The sequence below is a fragment of the Homo sapiens genome, chromosome 1 (genome assembly GCF_000001405.40).
Source record: "Homo sapiens chromosome 1, GRCh38.p14 Primary Assembly".
In the NCBI taxonomy this organism is placed as follows: Eukaryota; Metazoa; Chordata; class Mammalia; order Primates; family Hominidae; genus Homo; species Homo sapiens.
Window position 1 is genome coordinate 18,895,432 of NC_000001.11, and position 23,880 is coordinate 18,919,311.

The 23,880-nt window shown below is 52.7% G+C and overlaps 2 protein-coding genes, 1 long non-coding RNA gene and 1 other non-coding gene across 8 annotated transcripts in view, besides 4 other annotated features; 1 reads left to right on the forward strand and 3 right to left on the reverse strand.

Annotated features, from left to right (window-relative positions):
• Positions 1 to 7,124, reverse strand: part of ALDH4A1 (aldehyde dehydrogenase 4 family member A1) — a 31,126-nt gene extending 24,002 nt beyond the window's left edge. For all 3 annotated transcript variants that reach the window (NM_001319218.2, NM_170726.3, NM_003748.4), the window contains exon 1: positions 7,031 to 7,124. In NM_001319218.2, coding sequence (NP_001306147.1) covers positions 7,031 to 7,092 — 62 coding nt within the window. In that variant the 5' untranslated portion in view covers positions 7,093 to 7,124. The remainder of the gene's footprint in view (positions 1 to 7,030) is intronic.
• On the reverse strand, positions 1,640 to 1,717 carry MIR1290 (microRNA 1290). The gene has a single exon (NR_031622.1). It is a non-coding gene; the product is annotated as a microRNA 1290 (primary transcript).
• LOC124903866 (uncharacterized) lies at positions 6,682 to 7,940 on the forward strand. Its single transcript, XR_007065519.1, has 2 exons — positions 6,682 to 6,821; positions 7,379 to 7,940. It is a non-coding gene; the product is annotated as an uncharacterized LOC124903866 (long non-coding RNA).
• Positions 6,891 to 7,110: a silencer, noted in NCBI's record as "silent region_346". NCBI's record gives its function as "represses an Ori minimal core promoter by ATAC-STARR-seq in GM12878 lymphoblastoid cells {active_cell/tissue: GM12878}" and the evidence as "EXISTENCE:reporter gene assay evidence [ECO:0000049][PMID:35858748]".
• Positions 7,191 to 7,420: an enhancer, noted in NCBI's record as "active region_282". NCBI's record gives its function as "activates an Ori minimal core promoter by ATAC-STARR-seq in GM12878 lymphoblastoid cells {active_cell/tissue: GM12878}" and the evidence as "EXISTENCE:reporter gene assay evidence [ECO:0000049][PMID:35858748]".
• Positions 7,191 to 8,177: a biological region, named in NCBI's record as "H3K27ac hESC enhancer GRCh37_chr1:19229285-19230102".
• Positions 7,360 to 8,177: an enhancer, noted in NCBI's record as "H3K27ac hESC enhancer chr1:19229285-19230102 (GRCh37/hg19 assembly coordinates)". NCBI's record gives its function as "activates a minimal SCP1, AML or CMV promoter by ChIP-STARR-seq in primed H9 embryonic stem cells {active_cell/tissue: H9 hESC(primed)}" and the evidence as "EXISTENCE:reporter gene assay evidence [ECO:0000049][PMID:30033119]".
• Positions 8,849 to 23,880, reverse strand: part of IFFO2 (intermediate filament family orphan 2) — a 52,397-nt gene continuing 37,365 nt past the window's right edge. For 2 of the 3 annotated variants that reach the window (XM_047444839.1, XM_011540630.3), the window contains 5 exons: positions 21,472 to 21,611; positions 16,532 to 16,652; positions 15,953 to 16,045; positions 14,911 to 15,041; positions 8,849 to 13,235 (listed from right to left, as the gene is read on the reverse strand). In XM_047444839.1, the coding sequence (XP_047300795.1) occupies positions 13,130 to 13,235; positions 14,911 to 15,041; positions 15,953 to 16,045; positions 16,532 to 16,652; positions 21,472 to 21,611 (591 nt within the window). In that variant the 3' untranslated portion in view covers positions 8,849 to 13,129. Of the gene's footprint in view, positions 13,236 to 14,910; positions 15,042 to 15,952; positions 16,046 to 16,531; positions 16,653 to 21,471; positions 21,612 to 22,930; positions 23,072 to 23,880 lie in introns of all 3 variants that reach the window. The other variant, NM_001136265.2, reaches the window with a different exon arrangement.

The window sequence follows — 23,880 nt, forward strand, 5'->3', positions numbered from 1 at the left end:
ATGTACCGTTTCACCTCCTGCAGCGGGACATGTCAGGGCTGCAAGTACTGGGATCCGATCCATGAAGGCCATGCACCATTTCACCTCCTGTGGCAGGAGATGTCAGGGCTACAAGTACTGAGATATGATCTACAAAGGACATGCACCATTTCACCTCCTGCACCAGATGTCAGGGTTGCAAGTACTGGGATCTGATCTACAAAGGCCAGGCACCATTTCACCTTCTGCACCAGGAGATGTCAGGGTTGCAAGGAGCTGTGGGCCAGCCAATGCAGCTTCAGAAATCTATAGAGGGAAAAACTGAAAAGACACAGAGGGCCCAGACTCCACCTTGCCCAAGACACCTCGTCCGAGGTACTAGTCACTTCAACCTGGACTCACGCCATGCCAGCCCTGCTCCAGTCTCCAAGTCACTCAGGTCCACACCGCAACCAAAGTTAACATGAAAATCTGATCATCAGAGAGATGGCACAGTGGGGAGCTCAGTGAGAAACTACTCAGTGGCTTCTCATTTCTTCTAAAATAAAGACATCAGAATCCTTACCAAGGCCTCCAAATGTATTCCCCATCACCCTGCCCCATTTGGTGCAATCCGGTCACCCCGGTCTCTTCTGGGGTCCTCTCTGCTTGAGATGTCCTCCACTGGTCCAACCTCACATAGCCGGAATGGGGCTCCTATCGGATTCCTCTCATAGCTCTAGACTTTTCTGGAAGCACTAGTGAAAACCCTATTATAGAGCTCTGACTGACCATCTGTGTGCCCGCCAGGCCACAGGCTCCACACAGCCAGCCCGTACCCATCCCATTCACCACCAGGCACCCCAAGCCTAACACACTGACTGGCCACAGTAAGCACCTGAGAAATACAATCAATGCATGAGTGTCAGAGCTGACACCAGGCCCCCAGGACTGGACTCCAAGGCCAGTGCTCTTCTGCTATCACCTGGGGCTGGACACTGGCCCCTTGGGTTCCCCAGTGGCTAAGGTGAGGGGTGGCCAAGGACAAGGAGAGGAGAAATAGAAAGGAAATTATCTTTGCTTCATGCAGCCTCCTGACTTTTCCAGCCATTATCTGGAGCCTGATAAGGCTAATCCTCCCTATCACCGACATAAAGGCAACACTAGGTGAGCAGAGAAAGTGCAGGGCCCAGGGCGGGGCCTGGAGGGAAAGAAAGGCCCAGCCAGGCAAAGTGGCTCACACCTGTAATCCCAACACTTTGGGAGGCTGAGGAGGGTGGATCACTTGAGGTCAGGAGTTTGAGACCAGCCTGGCCAACATGGTGAAACCCCGTCTCTACTAAAAATACAAAAATTAGCTGGACATGGTGGCACATGCCTGTAATCCCATCTACTTGGGAGGCTGAGGAAGAGGAATTGCTTGTACCCGGGAAGAAGAGGTTGGAGTGAGCCAAAATCGTGCCACTGCACTCCAGCCTGGGCAACAGAGTGAGACGATGTCTCAAAAAAAAAAAAAAGAAAGAAAGACCCAATGCCAGGGATGAGCTGCTTCAGCCACTGCCCAGCAAACATCAGGCAACATTTGTCAAGCACTTGCCACCACATGCCAAGCATTAACCTAAGTGAGACAGGATCATCTCACTGAATCCACCACATAAGCGTATGAGGAACGCATGACAAGTTGAGCATCCCTGATCCAAAAATCCAAAATCCGAAATGTTCCAAAATCTGAAACTTTTTGAGTGTCAACGTGACGCTCAAAGGAAATGCTCATTGGAGCATTTTGGACTTTGGAACTTGGGAGTAGGGATGCTCAACTTGTTCGGCAAATTCTCCAAAATCCAAGCAAGTCCAATATACAAAACACTTCCGGCCAGGCGCAGTGGCTCATGCCTATAATCCCAGCGCTTTGGGAGGCGGAAGAGGGCGGATCACTTGAGGTCAGGAGTTCTAGACCAGCCTGGCCAACATGGCAAAACCCCATCTCTACTAAAAGTACAAAAATTAGCTGGACGTGGTGGCGTGTGCCTGTAGTCTCAGCTACTTAGGAGGCTGAGGTAGGAGGATGGCTTGAGCCCAGGAGGTGAAGGTTGCAGTGAGCCAAGATCTGGCCACTATACTCCAGCCTGGGAGGTAGAGCGAGACTCCGTCTCAAAAAAACAAAAACCCAAAAAACGAAACACTCTGTTCTGAAGCATTTCAGATGAGGGACACTCGACCGTAGAATGATCTGTTTACGGATGAGGTTCAGAGTTACTCACTCCTGGCTCAGGGTCACAGCTCATGAGTGACAGAGCAGGATTTGACCCCAGCTGTTCCTTACTCAGGAGACTTACAGTATGGCTGAAGCACCTGGAACATCTCAGAGGCCCATGGTCAGGTGGGGCTGATGGGACACGTTCATCCTCCTCACCATACAGCTAGAACCTCATTTCCACCTGAGGAAAGCCGCCGCCCCAAGGTGGGCAGTGACTTGCCCAAGGTCACTCAGCTGTCCACTGGCACAGCAGCTCAGCCCAGGGACTCTTCACTCCATGCCATGACCTCTGCCAGGAAAGGGAAGGTTTGGGGATTAAGGAGGCTGCAAGAAAGGGAGAAGTCTTTTCCATCCCCTGAGGTGAGCAGGGTCAAAACCCTAACAGAAGGTCGGACGCAGTGGCTCACGCCTATAATCCCAGCACTTTGGGAGGCTGAGGCAGGAGGATCACTTCAGCCCAGGAGGTTGAGATCATCCTGGCCAACATGGTGAAACCCCGTCTCTACGAAAAAAAAAAAATACAAAAATTAGCTGGGTATGGTGATGTGCGCCTGTAGTTCCAGCTACTTGGGAGGCTGAGGTGGGAGGATGACTGAGCCCAGGAGGTTGAGGCTGTAGTGAGCTGAGATCATGACACTGTACTCCAGCCTGGACAACAGAGTGAGACTCTGTCTCCAAAACAAACAAACAAACAAACCAACAATAATAACAGAAGAGGTTTGGCATCTGGGGTACTTAATTGGAATAAACAGAAGAGACCGAGGACATCTGAGTTCCATACCTCCCCTCCTGCCACCATCCTTCACTGCTGGGCCCTGCTGTCTTGATATTCCTGATCGAAGATGATCACTCCAGGAAGCCCATTGGTGGGAGAGGGGGATCATCATAACCACAGCAGCACTTACTGAGCATTTCAGGTGCTGGGCACTCCAAAGTGCTTTCCATGTATGAGACCATTTAACACGCAGGACAATCCTATGAGGTGACTACTACTGTCATCTTTATTTTCCATATGAGAACATAAGGGAGCCCAGAGAGGGTGAGTAACCTGCCCGGGGCCACAGAGCTGCCAAGAGTTGGAGCCAGGATCCAAGCCATGCTGTGTTCTGGACCATCTCAACAGCAACCGTTCAACGCCTACTGTGTGCCGGGCCAGATGCAGGGCACAGGAGGCAGGCTGCTCCCAGGGGTGCCACTGCCAAGCACTGCCTCAATGGCGCTTTCACTACTTTAGAAGTGTGATGATAATCACAGGTTTTAATTATTCTCCAACTCAAATACTCACAGAGCACGCATTCGGTACCAGCATCCAGGAAACCACTGATCACATCACCGCTAATCCTTGCAGCCACCTGCTACGTGGCTGTTAATACAATCATCCCCATTTTGCAGACGAGGATACTGAAGGGACAGAAGCTGCCTTGCCAAGGCCACAAAGCACTGGATGGGCTCACCGAGGTGGCCAGCAGGACATTCCAGGCCAAAGGCACTGCCCCAGCCACTGGTTGGAGGAGTTCAAGAGCAGAGAATGTCTAAGGAATGGTGGGAAATGCCAGCCCTCGACCCAGGGCAAGCTGTGCCCATCCAAGGGCTGGGCAGACTAGGAAAAGCATTGTGTGCTTTTGATATTTTGAAAATTAAACCATCAGGTAGCCTGAGAAGAGTCCAAAACCACCCAGGATCACTGCAGGGGACACGGTAGTAACCAATTCCGGCCCACAAGCCCCCTGATGTCAGACGGGCTGAGCTGGAGTCATGTCTGGGCTTGGCACAAGAAATAAGGAACAGAAGTGAACTCTTATAAGCCTACTACATGCCTGGGCTGGCTATTAATCTGTATCCTGCCTGTTTCCAAAGAGAACTGAGGATACTGATGGTAAAGTTGATTGAGAAAAAAACAGGAAGTCAGGGTTAAAGGAGGAAAGAGACAGTCAGTTGGGAGGCCTGGTGTTCACCAGCTCAAGGCCTCGGACAAGTTTTCCTTAATTTCCATGGGCCTCAGTTGTTTAATCTGTGAAATGGGGGTGGTAACCCCTACATCATAGGTTGCTGAGAGGCTGAGTAAAATAATCCACATGAAAAGTAAATGGCAGTCATTGTCACCAGCTGCCATCCCTGGGCCCACCTATAAAGGCCACACTTTATGGTGATTGTCCTGAGGCTGGCCGTGATAAATATCGATTGACAAGGAAGGGCTCACATGATTAGTTCATTCATTCCCTAAATGTTTGCCAAGGGCTTACCAGGTGCCAGACACAGTTCCAGGGCCTGGGAACATACTGTAAGGCAGACAAGTGTATAAAGGGAAAAAACAAGCTACAATAAAGTATGGGCAGATGAGCTTGTTTCTATGAGGTTTTTTTTAAAAGCATATCTATTCATGGAAAGTTAAAGGACATGAATCAAAATGTTAACAGTGGGTACCTCTGTGTGGTACAATTCCAGGTGATTTTTCTATTTTTTTGCCTTATCTGTACTTTTCACAGTTGACATGTATTAAACTAAAAGAAAACATGTATCAAGGGTATTTTTTAAAACTAGCAGAGATTCCTGGCACTCAAGGCAAAAAAGAAAACACTAAGAAGCATCTCCTATACCCGTTCCTCAAAAGCAGCGGTTTTTCTCAGGACTAGAGTTTTACACGTAGGACACTGAGGGATGTCACTGAAAATGCCCTGCGACTGTTTCTCCATAAATGCAGACATGGCATGTCACGGGTGTGCTCTAAATGTTCACTGAGTAAATGAACAAGTGATCAAACATCAAAGCTGTTCCTCTAGAGCACTGGCTCTCAACCGGAGGTGACTTTTGTCCCCCAGGTAACATCTGACAATGTCTGGGAACTTGTGTTTCCTGTCAGGGCCAGGGTTTTTTTCGTAATTGTCAGGGCCGGGGGTGCCCCTGACATGCAGCGGGTAAAGGCCAGAGACGCTGCTAAACATTCTACAGTGCACAGGACAGACTCCACAGCAACCAAAATGTAGCCCCAAATGCGAATAGTGGTGAGGTTGAGAAATCCTGTCTAGGGCATGCGGCCAGCTGCTGTATCAAAGGGGTAACTTGAGCCCAGGGAACCAGCTGCAAAATGCTCTTTCTCTTTCCCCTCTCAATTCAGGAGGCCTCATAATTCAGAGCATAAATCTGGATTTAGACCAAATGTAATTTCAGTCATATATCTCTGATGGCAGATCGTTTCCCATGATAATACAGGAATGAGACAGTACTTACCGGCTCGGTGTTAGGCCCATGGTGCTTGATTGCTTGATAATCATTATTGTTATCATGGGCTTATCTTTTAGAATATGGATTGCTTTCTACTAGATATTGGAGGGTTTTCCTATGCATTTCTCCCCTATTAAGCCGAAAACTCCTCAAAGGCCCCACCCCATGTAAATTCCCTGGGTACCCCTCATCTCTAGGGTGTTTGGCAGAGCACCAGCTCACAGTAGGCACTCAGTAAACACAGGACTCTATAAGCTCCATCTTCCTGAGTCTCAGAGTGCAGGGAAGGCCTGCAAACGGGATCACACAGGGAGTATGGCAAGTGTGGCCCCAGTCTCAGCCTAGAAGAGGAACCCCTCTGTCCCATGTCCTCTTCCTGCGCCCTTTCCTATCCCCTCTTCACCCACAGAGGACACACAGCAGTGTTGCAACTCACTTGTGCTCAGAGCACCACCATGCCATCCCTTGGGGGAAGGGAGAGGGCCACTGATTAACTCAGAAAGGGCACAGCTCATCAGGAAAGACACTGCCACTAACAGCCCCAGGGGTCAAGCAAACAAACCTCAAATGGGAGGGGGGGCTGATCCACAGGTGGGCAGCCCCACCAGACTAGGAACCCCTCTGGGGCAGGGTCTGTGTCCCACCTACCTCTCCAAACCTAGCTCCGAGCTGGAGGGGCTCTGAGAATATTTGTCATTGAGTGGGCAAGGGTCCAGGCACCTGGCTCCACAATGTCAGGTTTGCAAATCGGGATTTGAAGGGCAGGTCCACCCCTGAACTGCTCCTGGGTTTCTTCATTATTTGGAATAATGACCTGCCTCACAGGAGTGAGAAGTTTAAATAGAGGTGATAATGATGATGATCGTGGCAATAATAATAACCGGGCGCTGCCTTTGTGCTGGGCACTGTTCAGTGCACTCCCCATGTATTAACTCATTTAATCCTCATAAGACACCTGCCAATTGCCCGGCCAGCATTTGGTTCATTATAAGCACTCTATAAATATGATTATTCCACCTACAAGAAGAAAGGAATCCTTTTTTCTGTCCAACATTTAACTTGAAAAAAAAAAAAAAAAACGGGCGGCGGGGTGTGTGGGGAGCGGAAAAGAGAGAGGTAGAAATCCTGGTAGAAGGAGAGGACTCGGGGAATCCGGGGCGGGATGGGGACACTGAACGTGAGACGAGGGTGGGGAAGTGAGATGTGTGGTGTGCTAAAAATAGAAGGGCCCCTCAGGGGAAGCCAGCAAATTGCGAAGATCCAGTATTAGGAGTGAGGTGAGTGACTACAGAGGCTACTTTCCGAGCGTGGGAACCGGCAGGGCCACCGAGGCACCCTACTCGGTCGCAGGATTCGGGAAGAGGGGTCCCCTCGCTAAAGGAAGGTGACTACCTGAGGGAGGAGGCTAAGGGATCTCAGTGGGAGAAAGGCCTGGGTGGGGGTCGGAGGGGAGCCCCTGAGGAACCCGGCGTTGACCGAGGCAGCTTGGGGGTCCGGCAGGGAGGGAGTGCGGCGCGGGGGACGCCCAGTGACTCTCAGGCTCCCGGGCCCCAGGCGCGCGCTCGGGCCGCCCCGGGCCCCGTGCTCACTCACCCGGCCCCGGTCCAGGGGCGGGACAGCAGGGCGCGGCGGAGCGCGGGCGCCGGCAGCAGCATCTCGGGTTAGAAGCGGGGCTGTTCGCTGGATCGTCCGCCCGGGCGCGGCGAGAATGCACAACCCCGTCCAGAGCGCACCACCTCGATCCTCGGGGGGAAACGGATCACCCCGGCTGTCCTCCGAGCTCGGGATCAGCCAAAGTCCCACTATATTTAGCTTCGGCTAATAAAAAATATTTCTAGTGCCATAACGGGGGCATTACACAACACAGGACAAGGGAACCCGAAAGCGAAGTCCTGAAATGCATGCGTTTTCCCCTCCTCTCTTTATGGTATGACCCGGGAGAGAGGGCGTGAACTCTGTCGACCAGTCAGAGTGACACACCAAAGCTTCTGAACCAATCAGCGGGGCGGTCCTGCGGCAGCCTTCCAAAGCGGAGCAGAGAGGGGCTGAATAGAGCCAATGAGATAACCGAAATGGGACACGTGCTGAAGCGGGGCAGAAGGACTCGCTGCGTCCGGCCCTCTGGCGTGCGCCCCGGGTTCGATGGGAGTCCGACTGACTTCTCTCGGGCTGCCGGTGGCTTGTACAAGGCTGGAAACCTGTCCGCTACCAGACTCCTCGACCCCGCAGGGCCACAGCGCGGCCAGCCCCCTGCTTCTTCCCGGGGGCTGCGGCCCCTGGAATGAGCCTGCCTTCCAGCTTCTTGGCCAGGACCCAGCCGCTCTCCACCTACCCTCCAGGCGCGGGGCCGGCCAGCTTCTTAGCTTCCTTGCAGATTACGATCAATGCAAGATAAAACCTGAGCTGGCCAACGCTTAGCTTTTCATTTAAAGCCTTTGGCCGCAAAACCAGTTGTTCCTGAGCCTTTTACCCCCAAGTAAAAATTTCAGCTTTCTTTGCAAAATGTTGTGTGCTTGGTAAACACTAGAATGCTATTTAAAACTTGGATTCTGAAGTCTTCTCTGATGACGAGGTCTCAGGGACCCAATCTATTCCTAAAGTAATGTTACGTTTCCTTACTCTCTGTTCTAATTTGTTTATATTTCTTCCAGCAGCATGAACCGCGCACCTGCTTAGGAGTCAGTTCCCATGCTGATTTTGGTTCCTCAAGCAGGGCACTAGGCAGACTACATATCCTTTCCGGGCCTCAGTTTCCTCATCTGTAAAACGGAAGTAATAGTACCCAACTCACAAAGCCCCCGTGATCTTAAGCCACTTATTTTTCTCCAGATTACACCATTTGAGGTACTTTGGGAGAATGTAAACATTTAAATGAAGAGTAGGAGAGGGAGATTACCTAAATGCCAAGTATTAGGAATGGCAAAAAGCAAATTGGAATTGGTGGCGGCTATTTGTCTTCACCTTTGGAGAAAACCCTAGACAGGTGGGCTCAGTTCACATTTGGGCAATGTTGCCCTGAACATGCCCATTGACAAGAAAAACTAGAACATTGGTTACTGTCAAATCCAGAGCCTGGGAAGGTGACCTCCTGTGGGCACGTTGGAGAGCCTGGAAAAATGGGGGCTTTGTGGTTAAAAGGACATCAGTTCCAAACCAGGCCAAGCCAGTTACTGAGCCTGTGATGTCTCATGTCCTCTCTTCCCCTTCAGTAAAATGTGTGTAATGATTCCTGCTTTGTCATCTTCCAAAGCTTTTATTGTGAGCTACAAATGTAACAGGTGATATGAAATCCCCTATTTTATGGCTAATTAACTAATGAGTTTGAGGGTTTCTGTGGCCTTCCGTCCTCCTACCCCTCCCCCAACACCAGATTCATCTTCTGTTTAAAAACAAAAACAAAAAAAAGCACCATCAGTTCTAAGACATTTCACTTTATTTAAAAGAAGCCAATATACAGGATATAAAGGGCATGATATTTACAACAGTACAGTAAACAGGTTGGTTTCCGGTAGGATCAGTAGTCTTTCCATGAGTATAAATCCCCCCCTTCCCTGTGATGCTAGACCCAGCTGGCAGACAACAGCAACGGTGGGGCAGGATCATGGGGTATAAAGTCTCCCTGGGTGGGGCTAAAAATCAGGTAGATGCAAAAACATCCACAAGGGGTCTTGCAGGGAAGGGCTTTGCCTCATTTCTTTGAGGGCTTGGGAGGGAAGGGTCTTGGTGAGGGATTTGCTCAGAACTAACACACAGCCCACCCTGAGCCTGGAAATCATCCATTCATAGAAAATTCCCTTCCAGAGAGAATCTGGCTTTACCTGCACCCACCCAGTCCCCTCCAGACTCCCCACTCCAGGAGAGAGCTCTTCTAGAGCCAGAGCTTGGTGTCTCAAGGGGGAAGACCCCTGTCCTAGGAAACCCCCAGCACCCTGATCCCTCCCCCCAGGGCCCTGGGGGGAACATAGCAAGGACTGCAGCCCAGGCTTGGCCTGGAGTAGACACAGCCGGGGCTGGGCTATGAGCATCTTAAGCCATTTCCACTTCTGCTCCAGCTGCCTGACCACCTGGGACCCGCAAAGGCCCAGGCTCCAAGGAAGTCGTGTGCTCCCACTGTCACCCATGCTCTGCTGCCTCCCAACCCTCTCCCAACGCAACTGGGTTGGAAATGGATCTCGGCAGACCAGAGTCAGAGTAACTAATTAATCAGAGCCTATCCCCAGAGCCCAGCTTGTTCCCTCCCTAATGCGCCTTGTCCCTTCCCCCACCCACCACATTTCTGAATTTCCTGCAGCCCACCCACCCCCTCAGATCCCCACCCCAAGACTTCCAAGGAGCTGAGGGGTCAGAGGAGAGGAGAATGGGGTGAAGTGGGACCTACACTCTGCTGAAGCTGCTCATGGGTGTGGATGACCAAAAGTGAGGACAGAAGACGAGGCCGGGGGACAGGAATGGGTTCCATTCAATCCAGCAACAACATGCACCATGTCTCGTCCACAGGAAAATGCTGGGCTACCACAACTGCCTACCCTAGATTAAAAAACCCTTCCTTTCATAAAAATAGATGAGAGTCTCTTGCTTTATAAATAGATTACATTTAGCTTAAGTTACATCTTATATTCTCCCCCACCCCACCCCCTCTCCTCCCACTCCAAGCTTAAGTGGTTTAATTCTCCCTAGGTCATCTGAGCTCTACCCACAGAGTTAGTCCACGATGGATTTGGCCCTTCAGGGACCTCAAGACATTTTCTCAAGACGAGAAAGAAAAATGTGTTGATTTGCCAATAATTTTTTTCTCTGTTCGGAGTCTCAGAGGAGTGCGAGTGTGTGTGTGTGTGTGTGTGTGTGTGTGTGTATTTCACAACCAACCAGGGAGCCAAAAGGATGCTAGTCTTCCTATCCCTCCCCAATCCTCTGTTTGTATAAAACCCCCAAAAACAGGAGACAGAGGGCAGCGCAGGAGAGCCCATCTGAGAAAATTCTAAAATACCAGTGTCAATATGACACTGGGCTTAGAAATAGAAAGTCAAAATTAAGTATTTACAGCTTTACAAAGGATGGACCAATTCGTCCCAGCTAGGACTGGTGCTGCCCCAGCGAGCGTTGGGGTCTTTCTTGGCAAGCTGTGGGCTCATGGTGAGGGGACAAGCAGGGCCCACTGACATTAACTGAAAAAAGCATGTGGTGGAGAGGCAGGCAGGCAGGCAGGCAGGCCGGACCCAGGAACCAGCCCAGGAGGCAGGCCCATCACACTCTGGCTTTCCCTCTCCTACCCACCTGCCCCAAGTCCTCACTCCCAAGAGGAGAGCAGATATTAAAAGCCAGCCAGAAGGGACTCTCAGGCCAGGATCTCTTTCTGGCTCCTGCAGTTTTCAAACTCCCTAGAGTACCCTAGTCCTCAAAGACAAATGACCTATGTATACAAGGAGGAAAGTAAAAATAATACCGCCGGACACCGATAACCACAGTAACCTTAGTTACTCCCATGCTAACACTGCTGCCTTACAGTCTTAAGTCTAAAGATATATCTGTCACCCTCCCACCACCTTGGGGAACAACCCAGGGCCGGCTTCCACGCTGCCCACGAAACTCCCATACCACATTGTCCAATGCCTCCCTCGGCCCTGGACGGAGGAGACCCACGAGGGTGGATGTTTTCCTGCCCTCGAGGAAACGGAAAATCTTTTTAGCAGCTGAGGTCCAAGCCCAACTGGCTCTGATAACCTTTGGTTAAAATAAAAATTCAACAACAATAACAACAAGAATCAGGTATGTTTGAACCCTGTAACCTTTAGAACAAGGGTGAGTGAGGAGAGAGAAGGGCCGTCTCTCTTCCAAAACCATTGTCCCTCCAAGTACCTGTCAAAGGGAACTGTTTGGCTAACAAGAGATGCTGACTATGGAAGTGTCACAGCCAGACTGCCACAGGGGACCCGTGGGAGGTGCCCCCAGCAAAAGAAAACAAAGGAAAAAACTCATGACGAAGGCCACCAAATCGTGATAAATTACATCACACATAGTCACTAACACATTCTCACGCTCTCTCTCTCTCTCTACATATATCTTTTATGTACAGTATTTTTAAGACTGTAACACAGGTGGGGGAAACAGAAAAGAGAGAAGAGCCTTAAAGGCCACGGACCCCTGGGGACCACAATCCCAGTCAAACCCAGAGCCCCCTCCTTCTGCCTCCAGGCAAGGCAGAGGGACCCAAGTTCTAGTCCTTGGGCACATTTTGCTACCTTGACCACTAGAGGGAGCTCCTGGGACAATAAAAAATTAAAATTGGCAACAGACCCACTGCAGTAGGCTTAAAAAATAATAATAAAGCAAAGCCTGCTCAGCTGGCTCCAAGCTGAGATTTGGAAGGGGGCCACACAGTGCCCTTCAACGCAGTCCCACTCAAGCCATTCAAGTCTTGGGGGATGCTGGCTCAGATCAATACCCCGACTGGCCAGTCGAGGGAACTGCTGAGAGCGGCTTGCGTGTGTCGAGGAGCAGAAAGAGGATGGCCCTCACTCCAGCTCCTGCACTGCCAGCAGCCCACCCTGCTTCTCTCCTGCCAGCAGCCAAAAGCAGGCAACTGCCGGACAGTCCTAACCCAAGGCGGGTAGAAGGGAGCAGAGACCAGGCCTGGCCCCTTCAGACTTTCTCACAGAGAAATTACAGATCTCTAAGCCTCTATTGTTGGCTGGCGAGGGAGGGAAGAACATCAAGTTATCAGGGAAATCAAGGATCCCTCCGCCCCCGCCCTGAACCCAGAGGTCCGGAAGGAAGCAAGCGGTCAGGGAGGCCAGTGCCTTGCGGGAACCCCAGCCTCATGACCAACCTCGGCCAAACCCACACTACCCAGTCAGTGCTGCCACACAGATCACCCTAACCCCGGCCTCTCTCCCAGCTCCAGGGGGAAGCCAGGAGCCCAGGAGAGGTCCTGCCTTCCACAATGATATAAGGCAAGCTGCTTTTGTTGTTTGTTTTGTTTTTTGCATAGTAGTTTAAACACAGTGAGGCTCTGCCTTCCCCTCACAGTGCCTTGTCCCTTCAACTTTGCCACTCGATCCCCCCAAAAAATTAAAATGTGTCCTCCTTCCCTTCCTTCCACCTTTCTCTCCTTCAGGGAGTGAGAAAATTGGGGTGGTCCCTACCCAGGCCTAGAAAGCTCACAGAGGCAAGCGGCTCCTTCCTGGGGGTTGGCAGAGCACCCCAAGCTCCAGGCCGAGTCTGGGCTGGCTCAGGAGGAAGGGAGGGCATAGCCCATGGCCAATCAGAGGAGCAGGTGGGACGGACGGCAGAAACCACATTACACCACGGCCGGTTGGCCCGGCCCTCAGCTTAGAGTTCTGTATAAAAACACCTGCTAGGAATAATTCTTTGGAGCTCAAAGTGGCTCAGCTTAAGGGAGAAGGCACAGTTAACACTGCAAAGTCCGCACAGAAGTCTGCATTTGTAATGTGGAGAACAATAGAAATTGACAGCACCATTCCTTGGGTGGGTGGGGGATGGAGACGGGGCACCCGTTGGTGGTGTGGAAGGAAGGAAGGAAGCAGCAGTCCCTCAGGGCCTCCAGAGAAGGGAGGGCAGAGAAAGTCTGTGTGGTGTGGCTTCGAACCCCACTCCGAGGGGCCTTCCTGGCCCCATGAGGAGAGGTGGCAGGGCCCCATCACCAAGACCACCAGGCTCGCAGGGCCTCAGTCATCAGCTGACCATGGGCTCCACATCCGCCTCGCGCTCGAACTCATCCTGGATCTCATCTGTACTTCCTGAGTCGCTGCTGGCCACGGAGCTGGGGGACGGTGAATTCCTGAGAAGCACAAGAGAGTGGGGAAATTCAGAGAGCAGCCCTGGGCCTCTGAAGGGTCAAGGAGTGGGAAGGCTGAGCTGCCACTTCTATAAGATCTACTCTCAGAGGGGCCTGGTCCTGAGCTCCTGCCTCACTCAGCTATCCTTAAGATCCTTTAAGCTCACGAGGTAACCCCCTGCACCAGCCCCTACTTGGTCTGGCTGTGTTGGCTTCTCTAGGAAGAAAGCCCCTTGGGAGCTGGACCGTGGATCAAGTTTGGCTGTTACTCTCCAAGCACCTAACCCATGTCTGGGCATATAGTAGGTGCTAAGTAAAACCTGAATGACTCAGAGCTCAAAAGGAGGCCATGCGGGATATGGTTAACATCACTGGGGTGCAGTTCTGATTCTATCTCGGATGAGCTGGGGGTGGGGGAACTTGGGCAAACCGTTTAACCTGCCTGAGCGTCTGCTCTTCTGTCTGGATAATGGAGATAACCACACTGGGTTCTGGGGGTTTGAGGAGTTAAAGGTCTGAAAGGCAAGGCTACGGCCCTGCACACAGATCTGGCCCCCACAGAGCTGTCCCTCCCTCTCGTACAGTAATGCAGCAAAACGAGGAAAACAGTGACAACGTATTTGTGCTGTGTGGCAGGCATTCTCCTCATATTAGCTCATTCTCAGCGTGGCTGTCCCCCGATAAGGCTGTGTGTCTTTGAAGGCAGGGGCTCTGCTTTATGTGCCATGCCTGACACTTGTCAGTCTCCTGGGGACAGGCCCTGGGTTGGAAGAGGATGCTATGGTTTGGCTGTGTTCCCACCCAAATTGCATCTGGAATTGTAGCTCCCATAATCCCCACGTGTCATGAGAGGGACCAGTTAGAGATAATTGAATCGTGGGGGCGGTTTCCCCCATCCTGTTCTTGTGATAGGGAGTTAGTTCTCACGAGATCTGATGGTTTTATAAGGGGGGGTTTCCCCTTTGCTAGGCACTCATTCTCTCCCCTGCCGCCCTGTGAAGAGGTGCCTTCTGCCATGACTATAAGTTTCCTGAGGCCTCCTCAGCCATGTGGAACGGTGAGTCAACGAAACCTCTTTCCTTTATAAATTACCCAGTCTCAGGCATTTCTTTTTTTTTGAGACGGGGTCTTGCTATGTTGCCCAAGCTAGCTGTGAACTCCTGGGCTCAAGCAATCCTCCCACCTCAGCCTCCCAAAGTGCTGGGATTACAGGTGTGAGCCACCACGCCCAGCCTCAGGCAATTCTTTATAGCACCATGAGAACAGACTAACAGATGGGAAAGGAAGGGAAATCACTTCCTGTGAGCAAATGGGAGCATGCCCTGTCCACCTCTGCTCCCCATTTCAGCAGAAAATGGGGCTTAAGCTCCTTGAGGGCAGGGGCTATACTTACTGGCCCCACCGTCTTGCACAGAGCAGGCCTTTGGCAAGTATCTATTGAATCAACAAAGGGCAGGGTGGTGGTGGGACTTGCATGAGGTTAGATATGTAAGGCATCTGGCACATAGGTGTGCTAATAGTCACTGGATGGATGGATGGATGGATGGATGGACGGACGGACGGACAGATGGACGGACAGAGAGACAGGTTGGGAGCATGACACATGGCCGAGTTGCAGCCTTGGGAATTCCCCTCCAAGGATGCCATAGCTGAATCCCCTGGGAGGATGGGCGGGTACCTGTCTGCGGAGCCTTTGATGAGCCGGCGGCAGGTCTCCATCTGCACGTCCAGGCCTCGCTTCATGCTGCACATCTCCATGTACTCGTGCAGGTGTCGGTTCATGTCACTTTTGGCTGTGGCCAGCTCGAGCTGGGAGGAACCAATGAGGAATAAGGGTGAGGGCAAGTCATCCTCGTGACAGAAGCCTCGGCAACCTCTCCTCCTGGATTCCTCAGGGATGGTGCCATCAAGGCCACCATTGGACACCATGCCATCAGGACCCTGCCTCCGGACATCAACCTCCCTCACCCTCTGCTCTCTGCACATGGGTCCACTTCCCCTAGAACTCCTTCTGGCCAAAGGGGAATGGTTGCTTAGCAACCCCAGCAGCAGCCTGGCTCTGATGCACCCCACCCGGTTCTGAGAACTCAACATCTTTGGGTTCCTTTATCCAGACCTGATTACAAAAATCCTGAAGGCTTTTTCATGTTTCTGACTCTTGTCCTCTATCAAGTGATACTTCCTCTAGGGAAGGAGCTGGGCTTCCCTTTCTCCTGCATAATAGCAATGACTATCGTTTATAGAAGTGATCACATGCACAGCCTCTGGAGCCAGAGAGAATTATACTTCAATGCTGCTTCCTGGCCGCAAGGCCTTGGGCAAGTCACTTGGTCCTTTCCAGCCTCATCTCCTCCTCTGTAAAAGGGGTGCACGGTGCCTACTGCATAGGGCACAGGTAAGGATACCGGGCATACTCAGCACCTTGTGTCACTCACTATCACTCGAATGTCAGCTCTGTGGTTATTATGGGATCATCTCAGCTACATATATTCTTTCTAATTCTCTGAGGCAGGCAAGGATCACCACCCCCATTTGACAGATTAGGAAACTGAGGCCCTAAGAAAGACATTACTCGCCCCGAGGCCTCCTGACTCCCGATCCTGCGCCTGCCCCACTCTACCAGCCCCTGCCCATGACACATGGGTGTTTGATCGCCAGGATCTCAACCATGTGGACCTCAGGAGAGCCTCACGAGTGGGCTCCACGTCCCGAGCCCTCACCTCGATCTGACCTATCGTTTCCTGGTACTCCTTGTCTCTCGTCTTGAAGAAGGATTCGGTCTCATGGATCAAGTTGCCCAAGTTTTCCTCTTGCTGGGGAAATAGAACAAACGGGACAGTTTATTTTATTTATTTATTTATTTATTTATTTATTTATTTATTTATTTATTCTTGAGACGGAGTCTCGCTCTGTCACCCAGGCTGGAGTGCAGAGGTATGATCTCGGCTCACTACAACCTCTGCCTCCTGAATTCAAGCGATTCTCCTGCCTCAGCCTCCCGAATAGCTGGGATTACAGGTGCCCACCACCAGGCCTGGCTAATTTTTATATTTTTAGTAGAGATGAGATTTCGCCATATTGGCCAGGCTGGTCTCGAACTCCCAACCTCAGGTGATCCGCCCACCTCGGCCTCCCAAAGTGCTGGGATTACAGGCATGAGCCACTGCGCCTGGCCCAAAGGGGACAGTTTAGCTGTGTGGTGGGGGCTGTAGAAAAATAACAGGGATGAGGGACCATTGAAAGGCGGTGTCCCCCAGACCCCTAGTCCTGGCCTTTGGGAAGCCAGGCGCTGGGCTTACCTCGCCCTGCAGGTCGATGGTCGGATTGCAGTTGGTGAAATCCTCCCAGAGCAGCAGCGTGTCTTCATTCTCTTCCCACGTCAGGCTGTCACAGTCGTCGTCAAAGTCAAAGGTCTCCCGCCTGTGGGGGTGACACCAGAGGGCATGACTGAACAGAAGGCAGGCTCCAGGGACCCATACAGGGGACAGAAAGGGGCAGCTGCCCAGCAGGTACACAGCTTCAAGGCTGTCCTCAGGAAAGACAGGGGTAGTAAGCCAAAGGGGACATTCGCCTTATCCAAAAGGAGTTTAACTCTTTTAAAATGCAGAATGTATTTATGTATTGCTTGTACAATTAAAAATGTGTATTTTTTTTTTAATGTCAGGCTTTAATTAATTGGGACTAAAGATATTTTCCTCCAAGTCCAATCTTGCAATTTTCCTCATTCATTTAACAGCTATTTCTTGAGCCTCTAGTTTGAGTGAGATGTTCAATATAATATCATCTTCTCTGCAATTTGGAAAGGTTGGTATTATACCTATTTTACAGATGAAGAAATGGTGGCTCAGAAAGGATAACTCAACTGTCTAAAGCCACACAGCTAGCATGTAGCAGAAATAGGCTAGAATGCCGAATGTTTCTGTTTCCTACAGCTTTTTCCTCCCCATCAAGACACTCCCCAAGCACCCATTAGGTGCTGGGCACTGGACCAGCCACTAAGCATGCAGCAAAATGCAACGCCCTCAAAACAATTCCACCCTCAAAACAATCCTATGAGGTAAGCATAACTATCGTTCCCATTTTGCAGGTGAGGAAACAGAGGCTCAGAGGGATTCAGTGGCCTTCTAGACCAATACATGCTGGAAATGAGATTTGAATTCAAAGCCTGGGAGATGTCAAGACCTCCCTATTGGCTAGAACTAGAAGTAGGTTGACCAACCAGGCAGGTTTGCCTGGGACTAAGGGGTTCCCAAGATGCCTTGGTTACCCCAACTGGAGGAGACCTAAAGATCAGCTCATCCAACATACCCCTATTTCCAAGGGGAAGGCTGAGTCTGTAGGAGTGAAATCACTTGACTCAGTGCATCGGTAGCACAGGACAATGTGGACCCTGTCTCCAGGCTGCCATCCCAGGGCTCTCCCCATTGCCTGCCCTCCCTCAACTCCTTCCTGGATCCTCCAGAGCAACAATGAGTGTTCCCAATGGACTGGGTTGGGGACTGGGCCGGTCCCAAGAAGGCCGTCTGGTAAAAAGCTGCCTCGAGCGCCCCCTGGAGTCAGGCCGGGCCGGCTCCCCTCCAAAAGCCATTCCCACAGGAGCCCATAGGTGGCTCCCCGAGTCCAGGGTCCTGAGCTGGTAGGGGGTGGGTGCTGGAGAGGGCCGTGTGGCCCGGAGCCGCCAGGGTCCAGTGGTCACTGCATCACACACTCAATTCCTGACTTCACTTCCTTCCCAGCGTCTGGGATCTGAAGGAAACCCCAGCCGAGGGACAGGAAGCTGGAAAGGACAGAAAGACGGGCAAGAGAAGGGACTCGGAAGAGGCCTCCACTTCACAAATCTGCGGAGTGGGGCTGAGGAGGAGCCTTGGCCCCAGCGGGGGAGACCCACACGTTCCCCCTCTTCTCCTTGGTCTGAAGCCCAAACAACCGACTTGGATCAAAACAAAACACAACTGTAACACGGCTGCATTATTCAAACACTTCATCAGATCTGGCCAGGGGCAGCCTGGCTAGGGTCCTGCCCACAGCTGGTGGAGATGTCCATGGGAAAGGCCCAGGGCCCCGCCTGGGGTGGGGTCAGGGCGGCCCACACAGAACTGCAGAATGGGGGTGGGGGGTGATCAAAGTGATCAGAGGTTTCGTTGTTTGTTGTTGTTGTTGTTTTTTTGTTTGTTTGTTTGTTTGTTTGAGACGGAGTCTCGCTGTCGCCCAGGCTGGAGTGCAGTGGTGCGATCTCGGCTCACTGCAGGCTCCGCCCCCTGGGGTTCACGCCATTCTCCTGCCTCAGCCTCCTGCGTAGCTGGGACTACAGGCGCCCGCCACCACGCCCGGCTAATTTTTTGTATTTTTAGTAGAGACAGCGTTTCACCGTGTTAGCCAGGATGGTCTCGATCTCCTGACCTCGTGATCCGCCTGCCTCGGCCTCCCAAAGTGCTGGGATTACAGGCGTGAGCCACCGCGCCCGGCCTGTTTGTTTTAACTTAGGTAACTTTACAACCAGCTAAATCGAATTCCATACTGAACCCAATTTAGCTCTATCAACACAGAGGCGCCCACTCCTGCAGCCAGTCTCGCCTGACTTGGATCTGAATGCTCTTTCTACACACTGGAGCCTTTGCCCATGGGGCCCCCTGGCTTCCACTCTGATCTGTCTCCTTTTTAGCTCACTCCATTGCTGGTCAGCTTAACAATGCCCTGGGGACTTTATAAAAGCAGGGACAACAATTTCTTCAGATAAGTCCTTTAATTTAACCACATGGACCCAGCCTGGGATCTCCGGGACATACAATCCTGTCTTAGGGCTCAGAAGTGCCCAGGGCAACGTTCAGAAAACCTAGACCCAACCACTGCTTCTTTCCAAAAGCCCCTATTGGCCAGGTGCAGTGGCTCATGCCTGTAATTCCAGGACTTCGGGAGGCCAAGGTGGGCGGATCACTTTAGGACAGGAGTTTGAGACTAGCCTGGGCAACACGGTAAAACCCAGTCTCTACTAAAAAAATACAAAAAAAAATTAGCTGGGTGTGGTGGTGTGTGCCTGTAGTCTCAGCTACTTCGGAGACTGAGGCAGGAGAATTGCTTGAACCCAGGAGGTGGAAGCTGCAGTGAGCTGAGATCGCACCACCACACTCCAGCCTGGGCAACAGAACAAGGCTCCATCTCAAAAAAAAAAAAAAAAAAGCCCCTCTTGGCAGGCAGCAAAAGATGAGAATATGAGATGGGGGGTATCAAAAGAGGAATCAAGAATCTAGGGGTCTCCTTATCACCCTTAAATAGCAAACCCCCAAAATACAGCTCCGATCCCAGTTCTGTTTCAAGGGAATGGCAGGTCCAGGAAGTATCAGGCAAAAGAGTTCCTGTCCCCACCCAGTTCCAACCCTGCCTCTGCCTCCTGTCTACCTTAAAAGTCAGCCTAGAATAGGGACAGAAGAGAGAATTCTCTTCCAGGCATGGCGTGGGGGACAAAGCACTGGACCAAGAGTTGGGGGCCTGGCTCTGTGTGCCCCTCTGAGTCCATTCTCTCATTTGTACAATGAAGTGGCTGGGCAGAGTGAGCTCTGGACTATGGAATTCTGAGCCAGCCTCAGAGCTCTGCAGGGAGGTTAGGAGAGCCCGTGCCCTGGGCTTTTGAAACAAATGATGTCAAAGGCATCTGCTAGAAGGAGCATGCCCTCTCTGGGGGGCTTCCGGGAGGTGGCAGAGCCTCCCAGAGCTCTGATTGGTAGCTCTGATTTCCTGCAATGGCAAATTTTAAGGTACTAATATGACATCACTGAGCCTGGAGTGGGTATAGCAGCTTCTAAGAGCTGGCGCCAGCAGGCTCGCCCACCACTGATCATACCCAGCCCAGACCCTGCCACCACCCCAAGCAGTGTTTCCTACTGACAGCGTACTAGCGTGGGAGGCAGCCTGGCTCTGAATCCCAGCTCAGCCACATACTAGCTGAGTGGTGTTACCCAAGTCCCTTCTCCTCTCAGAGTCTCAGTTTCCCTGTCTACAAAAGGGGAGTGATACCCCATCTCCTAGGATGGGCGTCTGGAGTGAGCAAAGTGACATTTGTGAAGCCCCCTCCAAGCGAACATCAGGAGCCATTTCTGCAAGCCGTGCGGTCAACACAGCCAGCCCACCAAGGGAAACTAGTGCAGGTGGGTCTGGTTAAGGTCTGCTCAAGAACGGCCCACAGGCTAGGAACGGTAGCTCATGCCAGTAATCCCAGCACTTTGGGAGGCAGAGGTAGGCAGATCACTGGAGGTCAGGAGTTCGAGACCAGCCTGGCCAACGTGGTAAAACCCTGCCTCTACTAAACATGCAAAAATTAGCCGGGCATCATGGTGCATGCCTGTGATTCCAGCTACTTGGGAGGCTGAGGCAGGAGAAACACTGGAACCCGGGAGGCAGAGGTTGCAGTGAGCCGAGATCTGGCCGCTATACTCCAGTCTGGGTGACAGAGTGAGACTGTCTCAAAAAAAAAAATAGCCTACAAATAAGACCACATCTGCCATTGCCCCTTCTGGGTTCATGACATCCTCAGACACAGACATGTCCAGAGAGAGGACAGCCCAGCCCCTGTATCTCATGGGCAAGAACACCCCTTCTCCCACCGCTTTTTTGGAGGAAGCTTTCGAAGGAAAGGCAGGAGAATGGCAGACAGGGAACATAAAGGATGCTGGCGAATGGAAGAGTATGCGCCTGTCCAGATTCAGCAGCTGCCATCCAGCCCTGTCAACTGTGCCCCAGGCTCAGCAATGCCTGACCTCCTCGAGCTTCCAAGAGAGGCTGAACATATGAAATTTCCCAAATTACAAATGTTGAAAATGAGTCTTGGCTGTGTGCAGTGGTTCACGCCTGTAATCCCAGCACTTTGGGAGGCCAAGGCAGAAGCATCGCTTGAGCTCAGGAATTTGAGACCAGCCTGGGCAACACAGTGAGACCCTGTCTCTACAAAAAAATTTAAAAATTAGCTGGGCATGGTGGCACATGCCTGTGCTCCCAACTACTTGGGAGGCTGAGATGAAAGGATCCCTAAACCCAAGAGGTTGAGGCTGCAGTGAGCTGTGACCATGCCGCCGCACTCCAGCCTCCAGCCTGGGTGACAAAGTGAGACCCTGTCTCAAAAAAAAAAAGGAAATGAATTCAAATTCTTCCAGTGCTGCAGGCTACTCTCAGCCCAAGCCTCCCATTCACCGCCCCTGTGCAAGCAATCCGGGGAAACGGAGAGTGTGCGGGCCACGGGGATACTCACAGCTGGTTAAACATGCGCTTCATCTCATCGGTGATGTTCATGGAGCCGACCTCATCGTCCGAGAACCGGTTCACCTCCCCGTCCTGCTCAGAGATGTCATCATCGGAAGCCACCTTACGCTCTTTCTTTTTGGGGACCACCTGAACCGGAAAGGAAGCAATCAAGGTAACTGGGGGGCTCGGCTAGGATGGAAGGTAGGGGTGAACTGGGAAGGGAGCCGGCATCTCACAGGATGATGAGCGTGACTGGGGCCGGCCAGTGCCAGGAAAGGTGCAGGTCCTCTAAGAAGCAGGCGGCGTTAGCAGGAAGCGCGAGGTGGGAGACATGCAGGGGGACACAGACGGCCTGGACTCTTCCCTGCCCTGGGCGGCCTGGTGGGTGCGCCGGCTCGGCTCGCCCTTTTACCACAGAAGCAGCCCCACAGTTTGGGGAGAGGAGCAGGCCAGACCGGGACACAGAGTTGCCTGGGATATCTCAGAGCCAGCCAGAGAGATGGAGAACCCCTGACAAAGGCTATACGGCCCCATGCTGACCAGAGCCCTCCTGCTCACATGCAAAGGCAAAGGACAGACGGCCCAAGGTTCACCGAAAGCTTCCACTCCAAGCAGACAAGCCACGAGCAAACGAAGGCTGCGTTGGCCTCCCCTGCTTCCCGGCAGAGGGACAGCAAGAAGGCATGGAGGTGGAGAGAGGGCCCCAGGGAGGCCCAGATCTGGCCCAGCGACGTCAAAGTCACACACACAGAGCGACAACACACCGTATTGCCCTGGGCTCAAGCAAAAGCCAAACCACAACCCGAAACTCAAGAAGCAGCCTTCGGAGAATGACATGTGCCTCATTCGGCTGGACTGGCCCCCCAAGCCCTCTCTGGAAGACAGCCTCACTGGCGCTAACCTGATCGCCGTCTCTCGGGGGCACCCACACTTGCACGTTAGGTCGGGGGGGTATCGAGAGCCTCTTTGGGGTGGAATGAAAAATAGTCAAAGGCCAACAGCTCCTCTTCTGAACTCTGAGGCCCCTCTACCAGAGCTCAGGCCAGCTCCCCCACTTCTCCCCATAACCTGGCCAGGGTTCCCCAACCGTGGGGATGATGCCCAGTTCTGGCACCCAGAGGAAGGGGCAGGAAGCGGGACAATGGGTACAGTGTGGGCTGGTGAACCAAGCCCTGGAGGGGCAGGAGACTGATTTCTGCCACTTCCTTCCGTGAGCACAGCACATCACCCTCTGGGCCTCGGTCTCCCCAGCCATAGGATGAAGCAGTCAGACGAGCCTATGAGTCCACGGGTGCCTGATTCTACGTTTTCCTGGGGAGGCCACAGGGTCAGGTAGTGCTACCTCTCGGGGAAGGGGAGGGAGTGAGTGGGATGTGGAGGCAAACGGGTTGGCCGGGCAGGGGTGGAGGCCAGGGCTGCTCTGGGAGAGTGGGGGGTTGGCTGGTGAGCAGGGCAGCCCTAGTCACCTGGAAGATCTTGGACACGTCTTCTGAGTTCCGCTGCTGTGCGACATCGCACAGCTTGGCCGTGATATCGATTCGGCGGCAGATGTCCATGTCCACCTTCATGGCCTTTTCTTGGATCTTTGTGTCCAGGTCTGTCATGGGCTGCAGGGAGGACAGCAGGGTTTACATGAGCGAGGGATGGAGCAAGCCTGGGGGGCTTGGCAGAGAGGTGGGGAGACCCCTAGGTGTCAGCAGGGGTGGTGCGGGGAGGCCTCCAGAGTCCGAGGGTGCCTTGGGCTTTTCCGTGGAGTGGAGGGCTGCGGCGGCACTGGTCAGGGTGGGATGGGGTTGGGGCCTTGGGAGTCAGGGGCCAGTGTGACGCCGTGTGTGCTGCTCTCCCTAAGGGCTGGAAGGCATCCTCCCAGCAGACACAGGGTCCGTGTTCACTTTGTTAGAGCGAAGAAAAAAGACAACTCCCGCTGGAGAAAGACAGCCCTTCTTTTCCCACCGGCACACCCCACCTGTCCCCCACACAGGCAGCTCTCTCTCCTGGATGCCTCCCAAGGCCGGCAGTGGGAGTCACTGAGGACCACAGGGTTGATCCCCTTGGACACAAGTGAGAGGGAGCCCAGTGGCCTCCAACTAGGGTCCTGGGAGGCTTCTACCAACCACACCCAGCTTCACGTCCCTCCACACCAGGAGCCATGCCAGGCTCAGTCACCCACGTTCTGGCCCCTTCTGCCTTCTGGTGGGGTCTCCCCCTGTACTGCCCACTGTTTGAAGGGGAGGAGACCTGGGTCCCCAGCAGCAAGGAGCCCTTTGCTGCCAACAGCTCCCCCCACCCACAGATACTTAGAGGGGCCCCAGATTGTCAAAAAGACACGCGCACTGGCCTTTCCTGACCTCATGGAGCAACCCTGCCAAAGGCCGCTGGGCCTGCGAGTCTCTCAGGCCCGCACAGACCAGACGGC